At 37.2% G+C, this 19,651-nt stretch overlaps 2 protein-coding genes across 15 annotated transcripts in view; one reads left to right on the forward strand and one right to left on the reverse strand.

Annotated features, from left to right (window-relative positions):
- IQCB1 (IQ motif containing B1) overlaps positions 1 to 1,254 on the reverse strand; it is a 65,300-nt gene extending 64,046 nt beyond the window's left edge. For all 8 annotated transcript variants that reach the window (NR_134968.2, NM_001319107.2, XM_017007539.3 and 5 more), the window contains exons 1-2: positions 1,160 to 1,254; positions 585 to 673 (exon numbers count right to left, since the gene is read on the reverse strand). The gene's annotated coding sequence lies outside the window, so the exon portion shown is untranslated. The remainder of the gene's footprint in view (positions 1 to 584; positions 674 to 1,159) is intronic.
- Positions 1,403 to 19,651, forward strand: part of EAF2 (ELL associated factor 2) — a 51,318-nt gene continuing 33,069 nt past the window's right edge. For 3 of the 7 annotated variants that reach the window (NM_018456.6, NM_001320041.2, XM_017006863.2), the window contains exons 1-2: positions 1,403 to 1,585; positions 10,647 to 10,741. In NM_018456.6, the coding sequence (NP_060926.2) occupies positions 1,480 to 1,585; positions 10,647 to 10,741 (201 nt within the window). In that variant the 5' untranslated portion in view covers positions 1,403 to 1,479. Of the gene's footprint in view, positions 1,586 to 2,382; positions 2,451 to 2,838; positions 2,989 to 10,646; positions 10,742 to 19,651 lie in introns of all 7 variants that reach the window. The other 4 variants (XM_017006861.2, XM_047448577.1, XM_047448576.1 and 1 more) reach the window with 3 other exon arrangements.

The following is a 19,651-nucleotide window of genomic DNA, read 5'->3' on the forward strand; positions in this document are numbered from 1 at the left end:
AGAAGAGAAGGCAGCCACCAAGATGGTCTTAAAATGTAGTATAAGTGTAGAGCTGGGCCTTAAATAACCATTTGGAGACCTCTTATCATGCTCCAGGAATTGTTCTAATTGCTTTCATGTATTAACTCATTTAATCATTCCAACAACTCTAAGGAACAGATACTATTATTTTTTTCCCAATTTGAACAATGAGCATACTTAAACTCTGGAGAATGTAATTAGCTGGCACAAAGTCACACTGTTAAGTATAAAGCAGGGGTTCAAACTAGAGCCACCATCTGCCTTAAAGCATTTAACTACGATATGAAACAGCTTCGGCACACCTTCAAAGGGTAGGATTTACACAGACAGGTTGAAGGAGACATAACCACCTACCCCAAAATCAATTGACAAATGTGCCTAAGGCAGAAGGTGAGGGAGTGCAGTTGGATTGCGTAATTACCCTGAAAAACCACCTGTTATGGAAACCATCTGTAAACTTTCTCGAGTGTTTCTCCTATAATTCAACACTTCTCCCATCTTTACATTAAATTCATGAAATTTGACACAAAAAGACAATTATTTATCTATTTTAAGGCTACTACCCTGTTGCCAGGCCACCGGGTCCGGCCCAGCCTTGATTCTTCGGGAATCACTTCTCCCTCGCCGCGCCTGTTACTGCCTCCACGGATCACTGTGAGGAAAATAAATGAAAAGGAAATTCAGTGCGATCCTGTTGCGGCTGATCCTAAATGTCTGCAGTTGCTATCTCCGAATCCTCTTTCTCCTCCCCACTACACATCCCCTTCTCCAGTCCTAGGACCACAAGAAACTTCCTCTGGTACAAAAAGGTCAGAAAACGATTACTGAGGTAACAGCGTCGCTTCAAGTCTAAGGACCGAGATTCTGGGGCCTCTGGGCTCCTTTACTCCAGATTCTAGACCCGGCTTTCGCGCTACCAGGCCTTGGATAAGACACTAGGCCCTGTGCCTGGACACTGCACCTCCCCAGGCCTCAGTTTCCACACCAGATCTCTACAGAGTGGGCGTGAGGGCAGGCCGATTCTCCCGTTAAGAGCTCTTACAAGCCGGCTGACTTCGTCCAGGAGCCTGGGGTCCTGGCCTCCTGGTAGGCGCCCTGGGGCCCTCTCCCTCCCCAGCCACCACCTCAGATAAGTTACCTCATCCTCGCTTCGCGTTCTTCCACTAAAGAACCTGGGGCTCCCACGCCGCACTACAGCGCCGCGGCCTTCCGGGGCAGCGTGCGTCGCGACGCGGGAAGGGGCCTGGAGGCGGGACTAGGAGCCTCGGAGTCAAGGGGCGGAGCGCCCTTTGCTAATAAGCCAATCAGAACGTGAGACGCTCCGGTGGGGCGGTGCGCGTCGAGCGCGGGGTGGAGTCTGGGTGACTTGGCTGGCGGGATCAAGTGCAGCTGCTTCAGGCTGAGGTGGCAGATAGTGAGCGCTGGTGGCGGAGTTAAAGTCAAAGCAGGAGAGTAATTATGAATAGCGCAGCGGGATTCTCACACCTAGACCGTCGCGAGCGGGTTCTCAAGTTAGGGGAGAGTTTCGAGAAGCAGCCGCGCTGCGCCTTCCACACTGTGCGCTGTGAGTGAGGACCATCCGGGGATAGAGGGGGAGCCTCCCGGGATGGGGGTGAAGAGGCACAAACCCCTCTGGGTTTTGTTCCCACAGTACCCCTTACACTGTTGGAGACTACGGGGCGGGGAGGGGGGAGGCAGCGCGATCCTCTAACCTGCTCGGAGTCTTAGGGGGTCGGTGGAAGGAATCGGAGTAGAGCAAATGTGGGTAAACCCTGGACAGAGAGCGTTGAGACCAGCAGACAGGAAGGGAAAGTGTGAAAAAAGTCTGTAGAGGTGACTGTGGAGACAGACGTGACAGGTGGATGATGCAGGGGTGGACAGGAAAATAATAAGGTGACAAATGGGAAGGGACTAAGGACCGAATGCCGGGGAACTTGAATGCCTTGAGGCTGGTGGGGCAATATTCTCTCTTTTCATCACTTTTTCTCACCTCTGGCAGATGAGGGTTCTTATTTGGTGTGTTCTTTGCAAAGGGAGAAATTCTCAACCATCCCAATGATCTGTATATCTCTTTGGACCCCAGATTTCACTCAGTTATCAAATACTGATTATCAAAGTATTCGAGGGTGTGTTATTAATTTCTTTATTTGGAAGATGCTTACCTCCCTATGATTTCTACCCTTTGGTTTTCTTTATGTCCTCTGGAACTAGTTTTAATAAATTATTCTCTTTTATGTTGTTGGAGTAGAAAAAGGAGCTCTTTTGCTTTAGCAGTTGGATGATATAGATTCCAGGAAGGAAAATATAGCATATAAGTTTTTATGTGTAAGACATTCGTTTTTTGCATAACAACTGTCATAGAATTGTAGAGCGGGAAGGAAACTTCAAGATCACTGAATTATAACTTCTCATTTTTCTGTGGTAAAACTGTAAGTATTTTTTCACTTCCTTTCCCCAGCCTTGCCCTTCCTTAATATCTCATCATTCCGCCTTTCTCAGTCATTCTGTTCTCGGGTTGTTTAGAGACCTTTATGGTTTTTACTCTGAAATGTTCCATGGTTCAATCAAAACAACTAATTAAAGCATACATTCTCCCAAAAGTTTATTTAAGTTGTAGACAATTTAGTTATAGTTACTCAAAGTAAAGGTATGAAGAACCACTGGTTTTAACCCTGCAAGAATATATTTACTAAAAGGGTTTTTTTAAAGCAAAATTAACATCCAATTGGTAGAATAAATGGGTGAGATATTTGTGAACAGAAACTCTTCAACAGTGTCCCTTGTTTATTCTTCTTTATCATATACTTTCTCATCCAGAGCTCCCCACGATGAGATGGTGCTGTGCTGGCTCTGCAGTTTCTCTCTCTTCAGTCCCATTTTCCGGAAGTGTGATATGCGTCTTTATCTGGTTTTTCCATGCCTTTTTCTCAAATAGTATCTACTCTCTCCTTTTCTCTTCCTTCTCAGGTATGCAATAGTCTTAATATTAATTTTTCAAGTTACAAGGGCTTAAGATTATAAAAATTTGCTTAAGAATATATTTCTATATGATTTGGGTATATATTCTCTTATGTAGGGCACAAATCCCAATTTAAATGAATAAAAAATTGCCTTTGAAAATAATCTTGCAGGTCCTTCACAGCCTTTCATTTATAAAGGTTCTGAAAATGCCAGTATCTTGAAAGTCAGAGGATCAGATGATCCAGCTACCAGAATGAAAATAAACAAAAATAAGCAAAACAACAATAATGACAATAATAAATAAACAAACATACATGTTTGAATACACACTTAGTCCTGTGGAAGACAGAACTATTAGAAAAGTTTTCAGTCCTTATTTTCTTTTATTGTTGTTGTTGAAGCAGGTGTGGTAATGGCACAGAATCATTTTAGATTTATTTAAATAAAACTGTTTATTATTCTTGAGGACAGGTTCATTTCCAATGTAATCCTCACTCTTAAGAACTCAGAGTGAGGTTTGAAAATTGTAGAATAGTATGAAGCTGATGTTCATGCAGATAAGGGGGACCTAATTTATAACCAACCCTCAAGCCAATGTCATTGGAGAGAAAGTAATATTCTGCCTTTATTTACAGGAGCAATTCTGCCTGTCTGATATAAGACTTCAGGCAAACCCGGATGTGAATCCTGGTCTCCACCACCTATATATATAATGTGACTTTGGGAACATTCTCTAAGCTCTCAACCTCAGTTTTCTTATGGCTAAAAGATAATAGTAATATTTACATTTCATGGTTTGTGTAAGGATTAAATAAGATAGCATAAACAACCTGGAACAATATTTGCCACAGGGTAGAGAATAAATAGTAGTCACCATTAATGTTGAAGAGTTATATTCATATGTGTACGAGGGGTGCTAATGAATGTAATTTAGTCAGACTTTGAAACAGCATTTATCAGAGTTTAGCAATAAAAACTATCAAAAAGATAGTCTGGCATGTGGTAGGAAGGGCATGGGATGTTCTATCAACGATAAGCTGAATGCTTAGCAACAGGTGCTTTACCGGGTAGAAGAGTTTCAATAACAGGACCTACTAGAATCAATTTTGAATTGGGAGTAGTACTAGTTTTACTATTTATATCCAGATAAGGCAATGAATTGTGAAATCCTAAGTTTGTAAATGACACCACTTTTTTGTGTCCTTAAATGATGAGCTAATGAGCAGTGTGGGTTTTGGAGTTGGTTGAATTCATTCAAATCCCGGAAAATAAACTGATGATAATAATTGTGGATTCTTATGAAAATATTGGCATTATGTGATGTTACAGTTAAAATAATCAGAAAAGCGATAAACATTGGCAGAAAAGGTATTAAATACAAAGTAGAAAATGGTTTTCTACTCTTCATGCAATATAATAAGTAATTCCATTGTAAACCTGAAAAAATTGCATAGATGAAAGAAATCCAGAGAGAATAAATAAATGGTAAAGTTGGTGGTAGGGTTTCCAAACCAAGGAGAACTGAGAAATGAACTATTTAGTCTGGAATCATAGCAACTTGGAAGAGAATATGTTTGACATTTAGAAGCATACAGAAAGTATGAATATGAGATTAATCAGCAAATTCTTTAATTCTGGAACTCAACCACTTGAAACTCGGAAGTTATATACTTTTAAAAAAGTGTGTGAGGACAAAAGACAACACTGCTTGATATAATGGGTAATAAAGAGTAGAGTTTATTAATCCTAACAGTAGAATAATTAGAAATGTAAATAGATTCAGAATAGTTTTGGCAGATTTATTGATTATGAATTCATGTTTATCATTAAGTAAAGCTAAAGATATTTTGCATACATTTGTCTCTTGCAGATAATCTCATATACTATAGGCATCTATGTAGTCTTCAGGGACCTGTGAACCCCTTGGGATTGTACAGTATTTGATATGTATGTTCATATATGTATTTTTCTGTGGAGAGGATCAATGATTGGTCTATAATTTTCATCAGGTTTTCATAGGGATGGATTTATGATTGTCTCTCATCTCCTAATACTGCTCCCCATACACATACATACAAGTTAAGATCTGTGGATGTAAGACAAACAGGCTATATAATATGAGGAGATAAATTATGTGGCTTGAGTTCCTGACTTCATCATTTATTGACTTCATTACTTTAGAGGAGTTCTCCATTAGTAAAAGGTGGGCAAAATGTTCAACCCAAAATTTTTTTTGTGAAGATTAAAATTGATAGTATATTGTAAAGAAAAAAATCACTTCATAAACACTAAAACAGAGGTTATAGATTAATAGCATATAGGCTGAGCTTGACTTTAGAAGTGCTTTGTTTGGTCCACACCATTGTTGTTTTATCTTGAGTTAGTTGCAAATACCTAACATTCAGGACCTTTTATATAAAAAATCTAGATTTTCAGCTTATCTTTAAAAATCAGATGATAAGCTGGCAACATTGATCCCATATCTTCTCTTGGCAGCAGTTGGGTGGAGCAGAGTTATGAGATTGGGTTTATTCATCCTCCGTGTGACTATGATTCCCACTGGTCAGCTTGACTGCCTGGGTTACCCTGCTGGCCTCTCTAAAGCATCATTTAGCTGTAGTTAAATGACAACCATACCTTCCAGTATTTCCCTTTGTGTTACTGTGAGAAAAATATTAGAAGTCAGAGGGCCATAGTTTTATTCTGGGATGTCATTTCTAAGGTTTTAAATATTTATCATAAAAAATTCTTTATTGTCAAATATTAATAATGGATGCTGTCTATGAGAACAGAAGTATACCGGTGAAAAGTATGAAAGGAAAATGGCAGTCTAACCTAAAGAGATTGAGAGTTTTGAAGTAGAGATGAATCTGAGCCACAGAAAATAATTAGAAAACAAGTATTTTACACATAATTTGACACTTTATATATACTTAAAATAAGTTTAGAAGTGATTCAGAGAAGAGTGAACAATATGAACCTGAATGAACTACAAGATCTCTTCTGTATCCATTACATTAAAAGCACTGTGCTAGAGCCACTATGTGGAGAAATTAAAGTATGAGTACTATGCTTTAAAAAATTACAATCTAATAGGACATGTCCACGAAAAGGTAAATAATAGGTCGGGCACCGTGCCTCACGCCTGTAATCCCAGCACTTTGGGAGGCTGAGGAGGATGGATCACGAAAGTCAGCAATTCAAGACCAGCCTGTTCAAGATGGTGAAACCTTGTCTCTACTGAAAATACAAAAATTAGCGGTCGTGGTGGCGGGAGCCCGTAATCCAGCTTCTTGGAAGGCTGAGACAGAGAATTGCTTGAACCGAAGAGGCGGAGGTTGCGGTGAGCCGAGATCGCGCCGCTGCCTCCAGCCTGGGCGACAGAGTGAGATTCTCTCAGGAAAAAAAAAAAAAAAAAAAAAAGCCAGGCGCGGTGGCTCACGCCTGTAATCCCAGCACTTTCGGAGGCTGAGGCGGGTGGATCACGAGGTCAGGAGTTCCAGACGAGCCTGAACAACATGGAGAAAGCCCGTTTCTACTAAAAATACAAAAATTAGCGGCCTGTGGTGGCGCGTGCCTGTAATCCCAGCCACTCAGGAGGCTGAGGCAGGAGAATCGCTTGAACCAGGGAGGCGGAGATTGTAGTGGGCCAAGATCGCGCCACTGCACCCCAGCCTGGTGACAGAGGGAGACTTCGTCTAAAAAAAAAAAAAAAAAAAAGAAAAAAAAAAAACGGGCCGGGTGCGGTGGCTCACGCCTGTAATCCCAGCACTTTGGGAGGCCGAGGCAGGCAGATCATGAGGTCAGGAGATCGAGACCATCCTTGCTGACACGGTGAAACCCCGTCTCTACTAAAAGTACAAAAAATATTAGCCGGGAGTGGTGACGGGCGCCTGTGGTCCCAGCCATTCGGGAGGCTGAGGCAGGACAATGGCATGGACCCAGGAGCGGAAGTTGCAGTGAGCCGAGATCTCGCCACTGCACTCCAGCCTGGGGGACAGAGCGAGACTCCGTCTCAAAAAAAAAAAAAAAAAAAAGGTAAATAATATCAGGTAGGTAGTTTATGATAGGTTTTGATTAATGGTTTAGTAAATGCTACAGGAATGGAGAAGAAATTGAGATTCTGGGTAGTACGGAAAGGACTGCACCCTGAAATAGCTTCAGAGAAGAGGGAACTTTGAAATAGGATTCAAATTCTAAGAGAGCAAAAGGATAGAGAAAAGCAGAAGGGCAGACCATAAGGTGTTCCAGTAGTTTAGCTGATTGAAAACTAGCTTGTCCACAGCAAGAATGGAAGGGGATGGCTTTGAAAAATATTAAAGAAGATATAATAATTAGATGTAAATGATGAACGACATAGAGGAATATTTAGAGTAATCCTTAGATTGATGAGCAGAACTTTGAAGGATAGTTACAATTAGAAAGTTGAGGACTACCGGGCATGGTGGCTCACGCCTGTAATCCCAGCACTTTGGGAGGCGGAGGCGGGCGTATCACCTGAGGTCGGGAGTTCAAGACCAGCCTGACCAATTTGGTGAAACCCCGCCTCTACTAAAAATACAAAAATTAGTCGGGCTGTAGTGGCGCACGCTTGTAATCTCAGCTACTCAGGAGGCTGAGGCGGGAGAATCACTTGAACCCAGGAGGCGTACGTTACAGTGAGCCGAAATCGCGCCACTGTACTCCATCCTAGGCGGCAGAGGGAGACCCTGTCTCAAAAAAAAAAAAAAAAAAAAAAAAAAAAAAAAAAAAAAAGAAAGAAAGAAAGAAAAAAGATAGAAAGAAATAGATAGTTGAGGACCAGCCAGGCGCAGTGGCTCATGCCTGTAATCCCAGCATTTTGGGAGGCTGAGGCGGGTGGAACATTTGAGGCCAGGAATTCAAGACCAGCCTGACCAACATGGTGAAACCCCGTGTTTACTAAAAATATAAAAAATAAGGCCGGGCGCAGTTGCTCACGCCTGTAATCCCAGCACTTTGGGAAGTCGAGGCGGGCGGATCACGAGGTCAGGAGTTCGAGACCAGCCTGACCAACATGGTGAAACCGTCTCTACTGAAAATACAAAAATTAGCCGGATATGGTGGTGCACGCCCGTAATCTCAGCTACTCAGGAGGCTGAGGCAGAAGAATCGCTTGAACCCGGGAGGCGGAGGTTGCAGTGAGCTGAGATCGCACCACTGCACTCCAGCCTAGGCGACAGAGAGACTCCGTCTCAAAAATAAAAAAAAAATAAAAAAATAAAAAAATTTCCGGGTGTGGTGTCATGTGCCTGTAATCCCAGCTACTCAGGAAATTGAGGCAGGAGAATCGCTCGAACCCGGAAGGCAGAGGTTGCAGTGAGCCGAGATCTAGCCACTGCACTCCAGCATGCAGGACAGAGTGAGACCCTGTCTCAAAAAATAATAATAATTAATAAAGTTGCGGATCAACAAAGTCCACTAGTATAGGCACCCACATAGGGCATGACGATAACTTATTTATAAATAGTGAAAGATTTTATGAGGCAGTTACTTCATTTATACTGTATATATCCATATTAAATGACTTTGGTTCTTATTTTAGATTCATAAATGGTATTTGATAGCCCAAACTAAAGTTTTTTTCTCTCTTTGTTGACATTGATATATCTTGGCCAACCTTTCATCTTTTTTATTCTAACTGGGTTTTGCAGTTCGTTTTTCTAGCTTTAGAAAACAGTTGCATGATCTTGGGCAAGGAACTTAATTTTTTTCCACCCTCACTTCCCTTATCTGTAAGATGGGGTATTCACTACTTTTCAGGATTGGTGTGAAGCTTCAAAGTAAAAATCATCAGGAAAAACTTTTAAAATTGATCAGCATGTAATAGCTGTTATTGTTGTTTTTGTTCATATCTGTGTTCATTCTCTTAGATTTTCTGGCTTCTTCTACTTTATCTCTGTGATACTTACTCAAGTTCAGTTCTGATTTTTTTCTCCTCAATAGCACTGTCCTTTCAACAATTGACATTATTTAAAACTTATTTCCCTCAGTCCAAACCCTTTTTCAAGCATCTAAAACTTAACACCTTAATTATACCTTTCACTTTTCTCACTTTGCCACTGCTAACAAACTCCTCAACTTATTTTCAGTCTAATCTTTATCCTTTGACTCTTCAGTTATACTTTCTAGGGATATACTGTAAATCAAAACTCTTTCACATTTTCATATTGCTTATGTTATTTTTATAACTGTATCTTAAAATCTAGGAATAAGCATCAAGATCTTATTCAATTTTTAATTAAAGCAGCATGAAGAATATATTATAAAAATACTTTCTGTAAATTGTTTATATTCATTTGCATTTATGTTTATTTAAGGAATAGAGGAATGGATTTCATTTATTTCAGAGTTGTTATAAGAGGTAAATATGAAGTGTTAAGCATGGTGCCTGGCATGTAGTAAGTGTTCCATAAATGTCAGCTATTTTAATTGTCATCGTGAAGCAGGGCCAGCCTTTGTTTATTTACAGAGCAATAATTTGATGATTATTGGAAAATTCTCCTTTCCCAAGGTTTTCTAATTATAATTCCCTAAATTCCACTTATAAATATCCATTACTTTGGATTTAGACTTTCTGTCTTTGGGGCCTTTTTGTTAATATGAAGATTAATCTTTTGGAACAATGGGTAATAACTGGGAGGGGGCTCCGTGGAGCTGGTAATGTTCTATTTCTTGATTTGGTTGGTGGTTACATGTGTCACTGTGTAAAAGTCAAAGCTTAATTTTTGTTCTCTTTTGCATTATACCATATTTTAATAAGGAGCTAATGTATATATAACACAGGGAACTATATATCAGAATTATTAGCTGTTGATGTATATTCGTATGAATTAGTTTTAAATGGCTTTAATTGCTTAGAGGGTTTTAAGCTTGTTTAACATGTGAAATATCTTAGTACCCTGAATTTCCTCCTAGATGATAGATTTTAATGGCATCGTTTGAACTATGATTTAACTCAAAATTAAATTGTATTTTAAGATCTTCTAAAGTGACAGATTTGGTTAAATTATACATCATTTAGTGGTGTACATATTCATGAAAAAAACTGTTAAACTAGAAAGATTACTTTTTCTTAAGTTTCTTCATTAATATGTACTGTATTTGCTATGTATTCATTCATTTTGTTTGGATAGAATGACAGACAAGTGGTAGTAGAATGACAGACAAGTGGTAGTAGGCACCAAAGGTGCTTTAAAAAAAATTTATGGGCCAACATTCATGAACTAAGTCAGCAGCCATTAAAAATGACATAAAAAAGAAAAATTTATTGGAAAAAAGGACTGAAAATTGAAAACATTCTACCTATATCAGTTTTTTAGCAAGTTGTGAAAACACTGACATTATTTAGTTTTTAGCAGTAGAACATGTTAGTCAGGTTCATCTTGTCTAAACAGGATTCTATGGAAGCATGAGTGTCAGTAATTCTGTTTTAGAGTATAGCTATTTCTTTTTTCTCAGAATTATGCATACAGAAATAAATAAACTAGATTGTATTTTGTTTGTTCATTTGTAATATGAATACTTTAAACCATTTTAATTACAAAGCTCTTGAAAAATGATTTATCATTCTGAAACATGCTCATAATTTTTATATCCAAATATCATTACATTTTACAAAAATTGGTATTTGTATCTATTTTTAGATGACTTCAAACCTGCTTCTATTGACACTTCTTCTGAAGGATACCTTGAGGTTGGTGAAGGTGAACAGGTGACCATAACTCTGCCAAATATAGAAGTGAGTATTTCTGTATCTTTAAAGTGATCACTTTTGTGGGATTCTCAGTAAATTTAAATGAAAATAATTGCACAATTTGTGTAGTGATAATTGGTTAAAGTAATTAGTAAGCACAGATAAGCAAAAACCATATTTTAAACTACTTTAGGCAAAAAAAACTTAAAATACTTTAGTCCATTTAATAGTTCCAAGAACTATCATAGCAAATGATTTGAAAAAAAATTAGAGTCTAAACAAATATTTATTAAATTCCTACTATAAGCCAGATTTTAAACACTGACCTTAGGATAGTAACATATCCCTTGCCTTCTAGTCCTAATCTTTTATAGCAGACAGACACATAACATCTAGTGTTATAAGTTAGAGCATATATGAAATTCTATGTAACCACATAAGTAGAAGCAAATACTCTGCCTGGTGGAATCTTAAAAAGCTTCATAAAGCAAGCAATATTTCAGCTGAGCCTTTAAAGGACAAGTAAGATTTTATTGGGTAGACAAGGAGTAGAATAAGCAAACAGAACAGTATGTGAAAAGCTCTGATGCCGAAAGAACAAAGAGTTTGTGGAATAAGTGACTTTACGTAGTAAATCATAGTATAATGAAAAATGGGATGGGCGCGGTGGCTCACCCCTGTAATCCCAGCGCTTTGGGAGGCCGAAGCAGGTGGATCACGAGGTCAAGAGTTCCAGGCCAGCTTGGCCAACATGGTGAAGCCCTGACTCTACTAAAAATACAAAAATTAGCCAGTCGTGGTAGTGGGCACCTGTAGTCCCAGCTATTTGGGAGGTTCAGGCAGGAGAATCGCTGGAACCTGAGAGGCAGAGGTTGCAGTGAGCCGAGATCACGCCACTGCACTCCAGCCTGGGCGATAGAGCGAGACTCCTACATCTCAAAAAAAAAAAAAAAAAAAAAAGAAAGAAAGAAAAAGAAAAAGAAAAATGATTGATAGCAACAGAGACTAGAAAAGTAGGTCAAGATGAAATTGTGAAGGATATTTTATGTTGTAATGTAGAATTTGGACTTTATCCCATAGGTATTAAAAAACCATTAGAAGTTTTAATACAGAGAGGTAACATGATTAGATTTAGATTTCTTAGATTAGAAAATCTCTTTCTTTTTAAAACCACTCCTCAAACTCTGGCTGAAAGTCCAATGATTAGAATTCTAATGATTAGATTGTGTTTTTGAAAGAACTTCAGCTGGAGTTTGAGGAGTGGTTTTAAAAAGAAAGAGACTGTCAGGGGAGGCCCTAACCAAAAGTTTTGTCCATTAAAAAAATTTCCAGATGTATCCAAGTAACGGTACCAAATACTATTCGCATACAAATATAAGTTCTTTGTTGTATGCTCTAGTTTTCTCAGTCCTTGAGTTAGAAATTTTTGAGTATTCAGCTTAAGTTTCTTTTTCTTTTCTTTTATACTGACTTTGTCTATTCTCAGAAAAAAATCAAGACTGTAACTTTATACTTTAATACATAAAGAAAATGCTGGATTTTTTGAGATTTTTTCTTTGTTTTGTTTAATTTTTGTAATGGGGTGGTTTTGTGCTAGTCCGTCCACATTCTCCTTTATGCATTAATGAGATGGTTTACCGTGGTTATACATATAGCAAGTAAACTCTCTATCCTCTCATCTGCTGTCTTTTTCTTATTTTTTATCAGTTAACCATTTATTGAGAGCCCACTATTATGTCAGACTGTGTCAGTTACCGTCTCTGGAGATTTTCCTAAGGCTAATTAAATTTGTATGGGCTTTTTATTGAATATTTCTATTTGTTCTCTCTGGAACTGAAGGAAATGAAAAATCTATTTAGTATGAGATGTTGTAGATAAGTTAATCTTTGTATTACTCTGTTATGAAAAATTGTTCAGGTTCTAGTATCTCTAAAACAATTTGGAAATTTAATCTCCAGTAACCTAAGGCTTCTTTGCTTTATGATGTTTATTAAAGAAAAACCTGAACCAACCACTGAATTTTAAGAGGTTAAAGCCTCACATTAACAGCAGGAACCATTGCGCCATTCCACTCCAGCCTGGGCAACAAGAGCGAAACTCTGTCTCAAAAAACAAACAAACAACAACAACAACAAACAGGAACCACTAGTCTATTGTCTCAGGCTATACAGTATTATTGATCAGTAATGATTGGTTTGCAGAATCACTTTAGTTGGATTTTTTTTTTTGCCAAGTAGAATATTGTTTTCTCAAGTTGCCATCCTCCCATCCTCATCCCTTGCATTGCTCTTCTCCTCCAAAGAAATGAGGTTTCTTATGTTTAATAATAAACCCTTGTCATTCATTCATATCTTGCTTTAACCAAGAGTTACCATCTTCCAGGTGTTTGGTTATGGTCTCAATTGAAATATGTCTTAAAGGAAGCACAGTTACAGGAGGCCTATGTTTTCAAGCCTGTGAATTGTAAATTTCAGAAATTGTAAAGAAATCATTTGGGAAAAAGTCACTACCACCACCACCGCTCCTTTCCACAAGCCCCCACAGATATGTCCAAAAAAGAATATGCCTCAGTATTTGTGTGTGTGTATATGCATGGACATTCTGTGTGATAAGTCCTATTCTAGGTAGCTGCCACTGGGAATACAGAAGTAGACTAGACACAGTCAGTGTCCTGAAACATTTTATCATTTAATGGGAGAGACAGGAAATAACTGATTAAAATGTAGAAATCTAAGAACTATAAAAAGATATACATAGAATATTAAAGAAACAGGAAAGAGAGGTATCTCAGCCAGGGTACAGGGAGGAGACATCAGGACACACTGAGTTTTGAAGATGAGTTAAAGTTACCCAGATAAAGGAGAGAGGGAAGGACATTTTAGTCAGAGAAAAGAAAAAGACAAGGACTAAGATACAACAACAAAAGAAAGTTTGTTAAACATTTGAAGAACTACATATAATGCCTAGTGGCATATATGTAGTTACATATGTAGGCATATATATAGGCTAGGTCAAAAGGCGTGCATATGAGGACAAGGAGGGTAATATTTAGATATTTAGGAATCAGATTGATAAAGGGTCTATTATATAATATAAATTAATTATAACTCATTTAAACAGTGAAAATGAAAGAGTTGGGGAGAGGGGGGGAGGAAGTATGCAAGGAGAAGGGTTCTGTGCTCCTGAGATTAGTTCAGATGGTCTAACCATTGTTTTATATGTGCATTTTAGTTAATATTGTGTATTAAAGGATAAGTCTTAATGCTCAAAGTATGTTAAAAATAGATGTAGTAAATCAGTCCCTTTATGAATGTCCTTTTATTAGTTTTTAGGAAGGCCTGTCTTCTGGGGGTGACCTTTATTAGTCCATCTCTTGGAGCTAGACATCCTATACTTAGTCACTGGGATGGTAGAAGAGGGAGAAGAGGAAGGATGAAGGGAAGGGCTCTTTGCTAGTATCTCCATATCTAGACAATGGTTTTAGATGATAACCACAGGTCTATATGAGCGTTTTTACTAAAGTGCCTGTGTTCATTGTGGACAAAGTTCATTATTTTGCAACATCTAAGCTTTATGAATAGGGTGACAACTTATGATAAAAACTAGAGCTAGTGAATTAGCCAATTTGTAAATACCTTTGTTATAATTGATAGAAAAGATGCATTTTGGACATGGAATTGTTAAGCCGCCTCTGAGCAGTGTATGTCAGGACTTGTTCATTAGGTTGGCAGCAGAGGGGCAGAAGGAAGTATACAGGCAGAGATGTATGCAGATGTGTCCATATATGTCCATATTTACATTTTGATAGCCATTGATGTATGCATCTCTTTTGGCTGCACTATAGGAGTACATTAAGTAATTCAATGGAAATATACTTTGCTAATATTTTAATGGTATAGATCTGCTAATGAATTCTCTTAAAAACATTATACTTAGTGTATTCTGCTGCTGTGTGTTTCATTTTAAATTGAGCATTAAGGGAATGCAGCATTTAAATCGCAACTCTGCCAATGCTTTTATCTAGAGGCGTGTTGCCATTTTTGTCTTCTATGAAATTTTTGTCCCAAGAAAGGCAGGATCACTTTTTTTTTAGCAGTTTGAGTTGGTGTAGTGTATTCTTGGTTATCAAAATACTCATATAGCTTTGGGATTTTGAATTGGTAAATATTCATGATGTGTGAAAAATCGTGATACATACTGTACAATGGCAGTCCCATAAAATTGGATGTTGTGTCTACACACACACAGGATCTAGAAGAACATGTCAAACTATAAACTGCTTGTGATTGTAAATGACTTTGTTCTTTGCTTCTTGTGCTTTTCAGTTTCCTATAGTGCACATATTAACTTTTAAAAAATAAGGGTTATTTTAAAAGCCCCCCCCCACACAAAAAAAAGAGAATGAAAGAGTTATTTAGATCACCATCTGTCAAAAGCAAATATTGTTTCTCCTGGGTATGTAGTCCTTGAACAATCATGAATAACAATGGAAATTACATTCTCAGATAGACTTTGTGAGGGGTTTCCCCCTTCACTTAAAGAACATCTTTAAGCAGGTAGGAGGTTTGCTTTTCTTCAGTGTTCTTAATTCTGTAGGTTTTTTGTGGAAATGTAATGGTTATTAGTTTGAGGCATTTAGATTCTTCTATTGTTTATATGAACTTGCTTTCGTCATCCTGGTATAACTGCCTAGGAAGCTTAGAGTCAGACCATAAAATAGAGCTTTTATTATATTATAATTTTAAGAGTACGTTTGGTTCTTTGATAGGGTAGATTTTCTAATTCCATTTGTCTTAGGTTTCTATGGTATTACCAAATAGAAAAAAATTAATAAAAACGAACACTGATAGTCTGGTTAAATAGTGGGCATTTACGAATCTCTCTTCCTTACAAACAGTTCTCCATGATTGCTACAAAATTTCAAAGTGTCGAATTTTGAAAGAAAAAGTTTTACTTAACTTGACTGTTAAGACTTGTCATTGGTGCTGAGATTGGCATATTTTTGGCATTGACTCTTTATCTTATGGGGTGCTTCTGTGGGCTTTTATGAAATAGCCCACTGCAAACTTCTAACTATCCTTCTATTATTCAGGCAATGCATTTCTAGTGGTTATGTATAATTCAACCCTCAAATCCTACACTTATGAGGCTCCTATATGTATGAGGGGTACTCCAGATGACCCTCTTGGGCAAAGTCCCTTCCCAAATGAACCTAGTCTGGTTTTCTCCAATGGGTTTACTTAGCCGACACAGGAACATAGTCCATTACATTCTTGGGACCTCATCTGATTTTAGGACCAGAGTCCTATTTTAACATTGTTTTAAAGTTATATTTTTTAATGAAGTATATCTTTAATTATTACAAAATAACATTTTTGTCCTATTTTTGTGTTTTTAAGCTTAAGTGCCTACTTCTCTGATATATATATATATGTATGTATATATATATATATCAACCTTTTTTTCTTTTGTGTGTTCACAGAATCTTAGTGTCTCTTCCTTTTATTTAGCTGATATTTATATAGCTATCTTTACTTTTTTTCTTTTGTGTATTCATAGAATCTTAGTGTTTCTTCCTTTTATTTAGCTGACATTTTGTATGAAGTATATCTTTTGTTAATATAGTATGCTGTTTTATTTTTAAACCCAGTTTGGCACTTTCTATTTTTATTGGGAGAATACTGTCTATTCAGTCTATTCACATTTAGTTCAAAATTGATATACTTGATTTTTATCTTATAGTTTATTAGTTTTTAAATATTTGTTGTTTCTTCTTTTATATTCTTTATTAGTTTTACCAACCATTTCTTTTTTTCCCTTTGTCTTTGATTTTTTTTTCATTGCTTTTTTTGATTACTCTTATTACTTTGGGAGTACTAGTATACTTTTCCATTCCATTATTGATTATTTTCTTTTCCTGGTGTTCATAATGAGGCATATGATTTTATTTTCTTATATGAAAACTGAGTTCCTCCATTATTTTCCTACCTCTATCAAGTGAGATTTTTAGAATACATTTATTATCCCTTAATAATAAGACTTTTTTTCTCCTCCCTTCCACTTCTCTTTCTTTCCACCTCAGCCAAGCACCTAAGTTTTTGCCAAGATATTGTGTTACATTATAGAATATCTTCATGTCAAGAATACTTATTTAGCTCTTACATTATACATTCTCAGACAGTCTATTCTTATTCTTTTTTTTATTATTTTTTGAGACGGAGTCTCACTCTGTCACCCAGGCTGGAGTGCAGTGGCGCAATCTTGGCTCACTGCAACCTGCATCTCCTGGGTTCGAGCAATTCTCCTGCCTCAGCTTCCCAAGTAGCTGGGATTACAGGCAGTGCCCGCCACCATGCCCAGCTAATTTTTTGCATTTTTAGTAGAGTTGGGGGTTCACTATGTTGACCAGGCTGGTCTCAAACTCCCGACCTCAGATGATCCACCTCCCTTGGCCTCCCAAAGTGCTGGGATTGCAAGCGTGAGCCACCGTGCCCGGCCAAGTCTATTCTTATCCATTTAAAGTTAAGTATATATAAATAGCCAGATTTCTTTTATCACTTCTTTTATTTATATTTATATTTTCTCTTCATTCCCCTATGTTGAGGTGTTGGTTCTGATTCCTTTGTTGTATGGTTAAGAGTCCTTTTATTCCCTCAAATAACATATGCACGCACTTATTTTATTTATTTTTTAGAGACAAGATTTCATTCTGCCACTCAGGCTGGAGTGCAGTGGCACAATTATAGCCCACTGCAGCCTCCAACTCCTGGGCTCAAGCAATCCTCCTGCCTCAGCCTTCCAAGCAGCTAGGACTACAAATGTGCACCACCATGCCCAGCTAATTTTTAGTTTTTTTTTTGTGGACACAGGTTGTCCCCATGTTGCCCATGCTGGTCGGAAACTCCTGGGCTCAAGTGATCCTTAGCCATCTAAAATGGTGGGATTACATGCATGAGTCACCACACATGACCCACTCACTTATTTTATATTTTATTTTACAGTTTTGTCTTTTGGTTGACAATCCTAAGTCAGTCATTCATGTGAACCAATTATAAGCAATTCTATGTGGTTTGTAAACAGTGGCAAATTAAGAAAGTTGGAGAGTAGATGAGAAGATCATGGAGGGTCCATGTGCAGGTTTATGGAATATGGCTTTATCTGAATACACAGTTTTTTAAGCACAGAAAGATTTTTAAGCAAGGGAACAATACGATTAGATTTGCCTGCTCACAGAATGGGGAACAAAATTGGAAAGAGAGTAGGGAGGAGAATAACAATAATCTAGGTGAATGACGATTGAAGGTGTGTCATCACAGTGAACATGGAGCCGATAGGTGGTATTCAATAGTTATTTAGAGGCAATGATAGTTCATATGCTTAGTAGTTGTCTGGTACTTTAGTAGTTGCCTTTCTTGGGGTATTGAATAAGGAATGGACAGAAACTGAAGCTTAAAAGTTAGGAATGGTGTTCAATTTAATGAGGGAGAAAGTTTACATTTATAAAACTTGTTCAAAATGTAGATGGCAGGTGTAGAGATTATGAAAGATTTGTTTCATTTGTTACTTATGACCAGAAATTGTCTATATTATTCATATTTAACCTTCATTGAATATTTATAAAGGTCTTGATACTTCTTCAGGTGCTGAGAGCAATTTTTTAAAAATTAATGATTAGTTCTTATTTTCAGGAGCTCAGAGAACAATAATACATTGTAATTTTTAGATGTATTCCATTCTAATTAAGAGTACAGATATCATTAAGAATATCTTGCACAAATCTCTTATCAACTGTAATTTGGAGTCCTTAGGTAACTATTTTGGGGTATCTTACTTGTTTCAGTCAACACATCTGAAAAATTTACTTACCAGCCAAGTAGACCCACTTTGTTTGGTTATAATCATGCTCCTGACTCTCCAGCTTACCAGGGCTTCAACTAAGTGCTCCACATCTAACCGTTTTAGAGCTAGCCCAGACATGTCTTCATCTACGTGTTGTGCATTCTTGATTTTCTGTAGATTACTTTAGTCTTTGGGAGAGGTAAAAAACCCACAAACAACTGTTCCTTTATTTTACATTTATAATTTTCCCTCCATACCTTCAGAAATCTCTAACCTACCCATCTTTTATGGCATTTTCAATTACCTAATTTATCTTATACTCCTCCTAGTGCTCATTTAGTAAATCTCTAATGATTAACTTTAATATGATACACCACTTAGCCTTTTTAGAGGTCATCCTTTTCTAACCTGATCTAACAGTACTATTTTATTATTTTTGTAATATTTGATAAAATTATTATGATAAATCCATTAAAATTTAATGTACTTTTATAAACTCCAAAGACAAACATACACAAATAATTGTTTAGAAATACATATATGTGGGATAAAGCAAAAGAATGACAAACGTAAAATTCCTTCAGGTTTGATGGAGCAGGGACAAAAGATAGGGGAGGAGCATGTAAGTAGATGTAGTTTATTAGTAATGATCTAGGTTTCTTTTATTGCCAACAGAATTGTATAATGAATTACATGTACCCATCACTGAGCTTTAACAATTATCAACATTTTGCTAATCTTTTTATTTTTTAATCTAATGTCTTACCATTTTTTTCCTTGGCATATTTTATAGCAAATCCCAGACAATGTGCCATTTCATCAATGCTTACTTATGTATCTCTAACTGATAAGGACATTTCTATCTAAGCACCATGCTATTATCACAAATAACATAATTGATAATACTTCGTCCATAGTCACAATTTTGTGATGATCTCAAAAACGTGTTTTTTACAGACATTTGTCTGTAAAATGTCCTAACTAGAATCCAAATAAGATTTCTACATTGTATTTGAATATTGTATTTCTTGTCTCTTTTATTCTTTAAAAGTCCCTTCCTTTCTTCTCCACCCCTTTTTTAATTTATCTTTTTTAGAGACAGGGTCTCACTGTGTT

Source organism: Homo sapiens, chromosome 3, assembly GCF_000001405.40.
Source record: "Homo sapiens chromosome 3, GRCh38.p14 Primary Assembly".
Classification (NCBI taxonomy): Eukaryota; Metazoa; Chordata; class Mammalia; order Primates; family Hominidae; genus Homo; species Homo sapiens.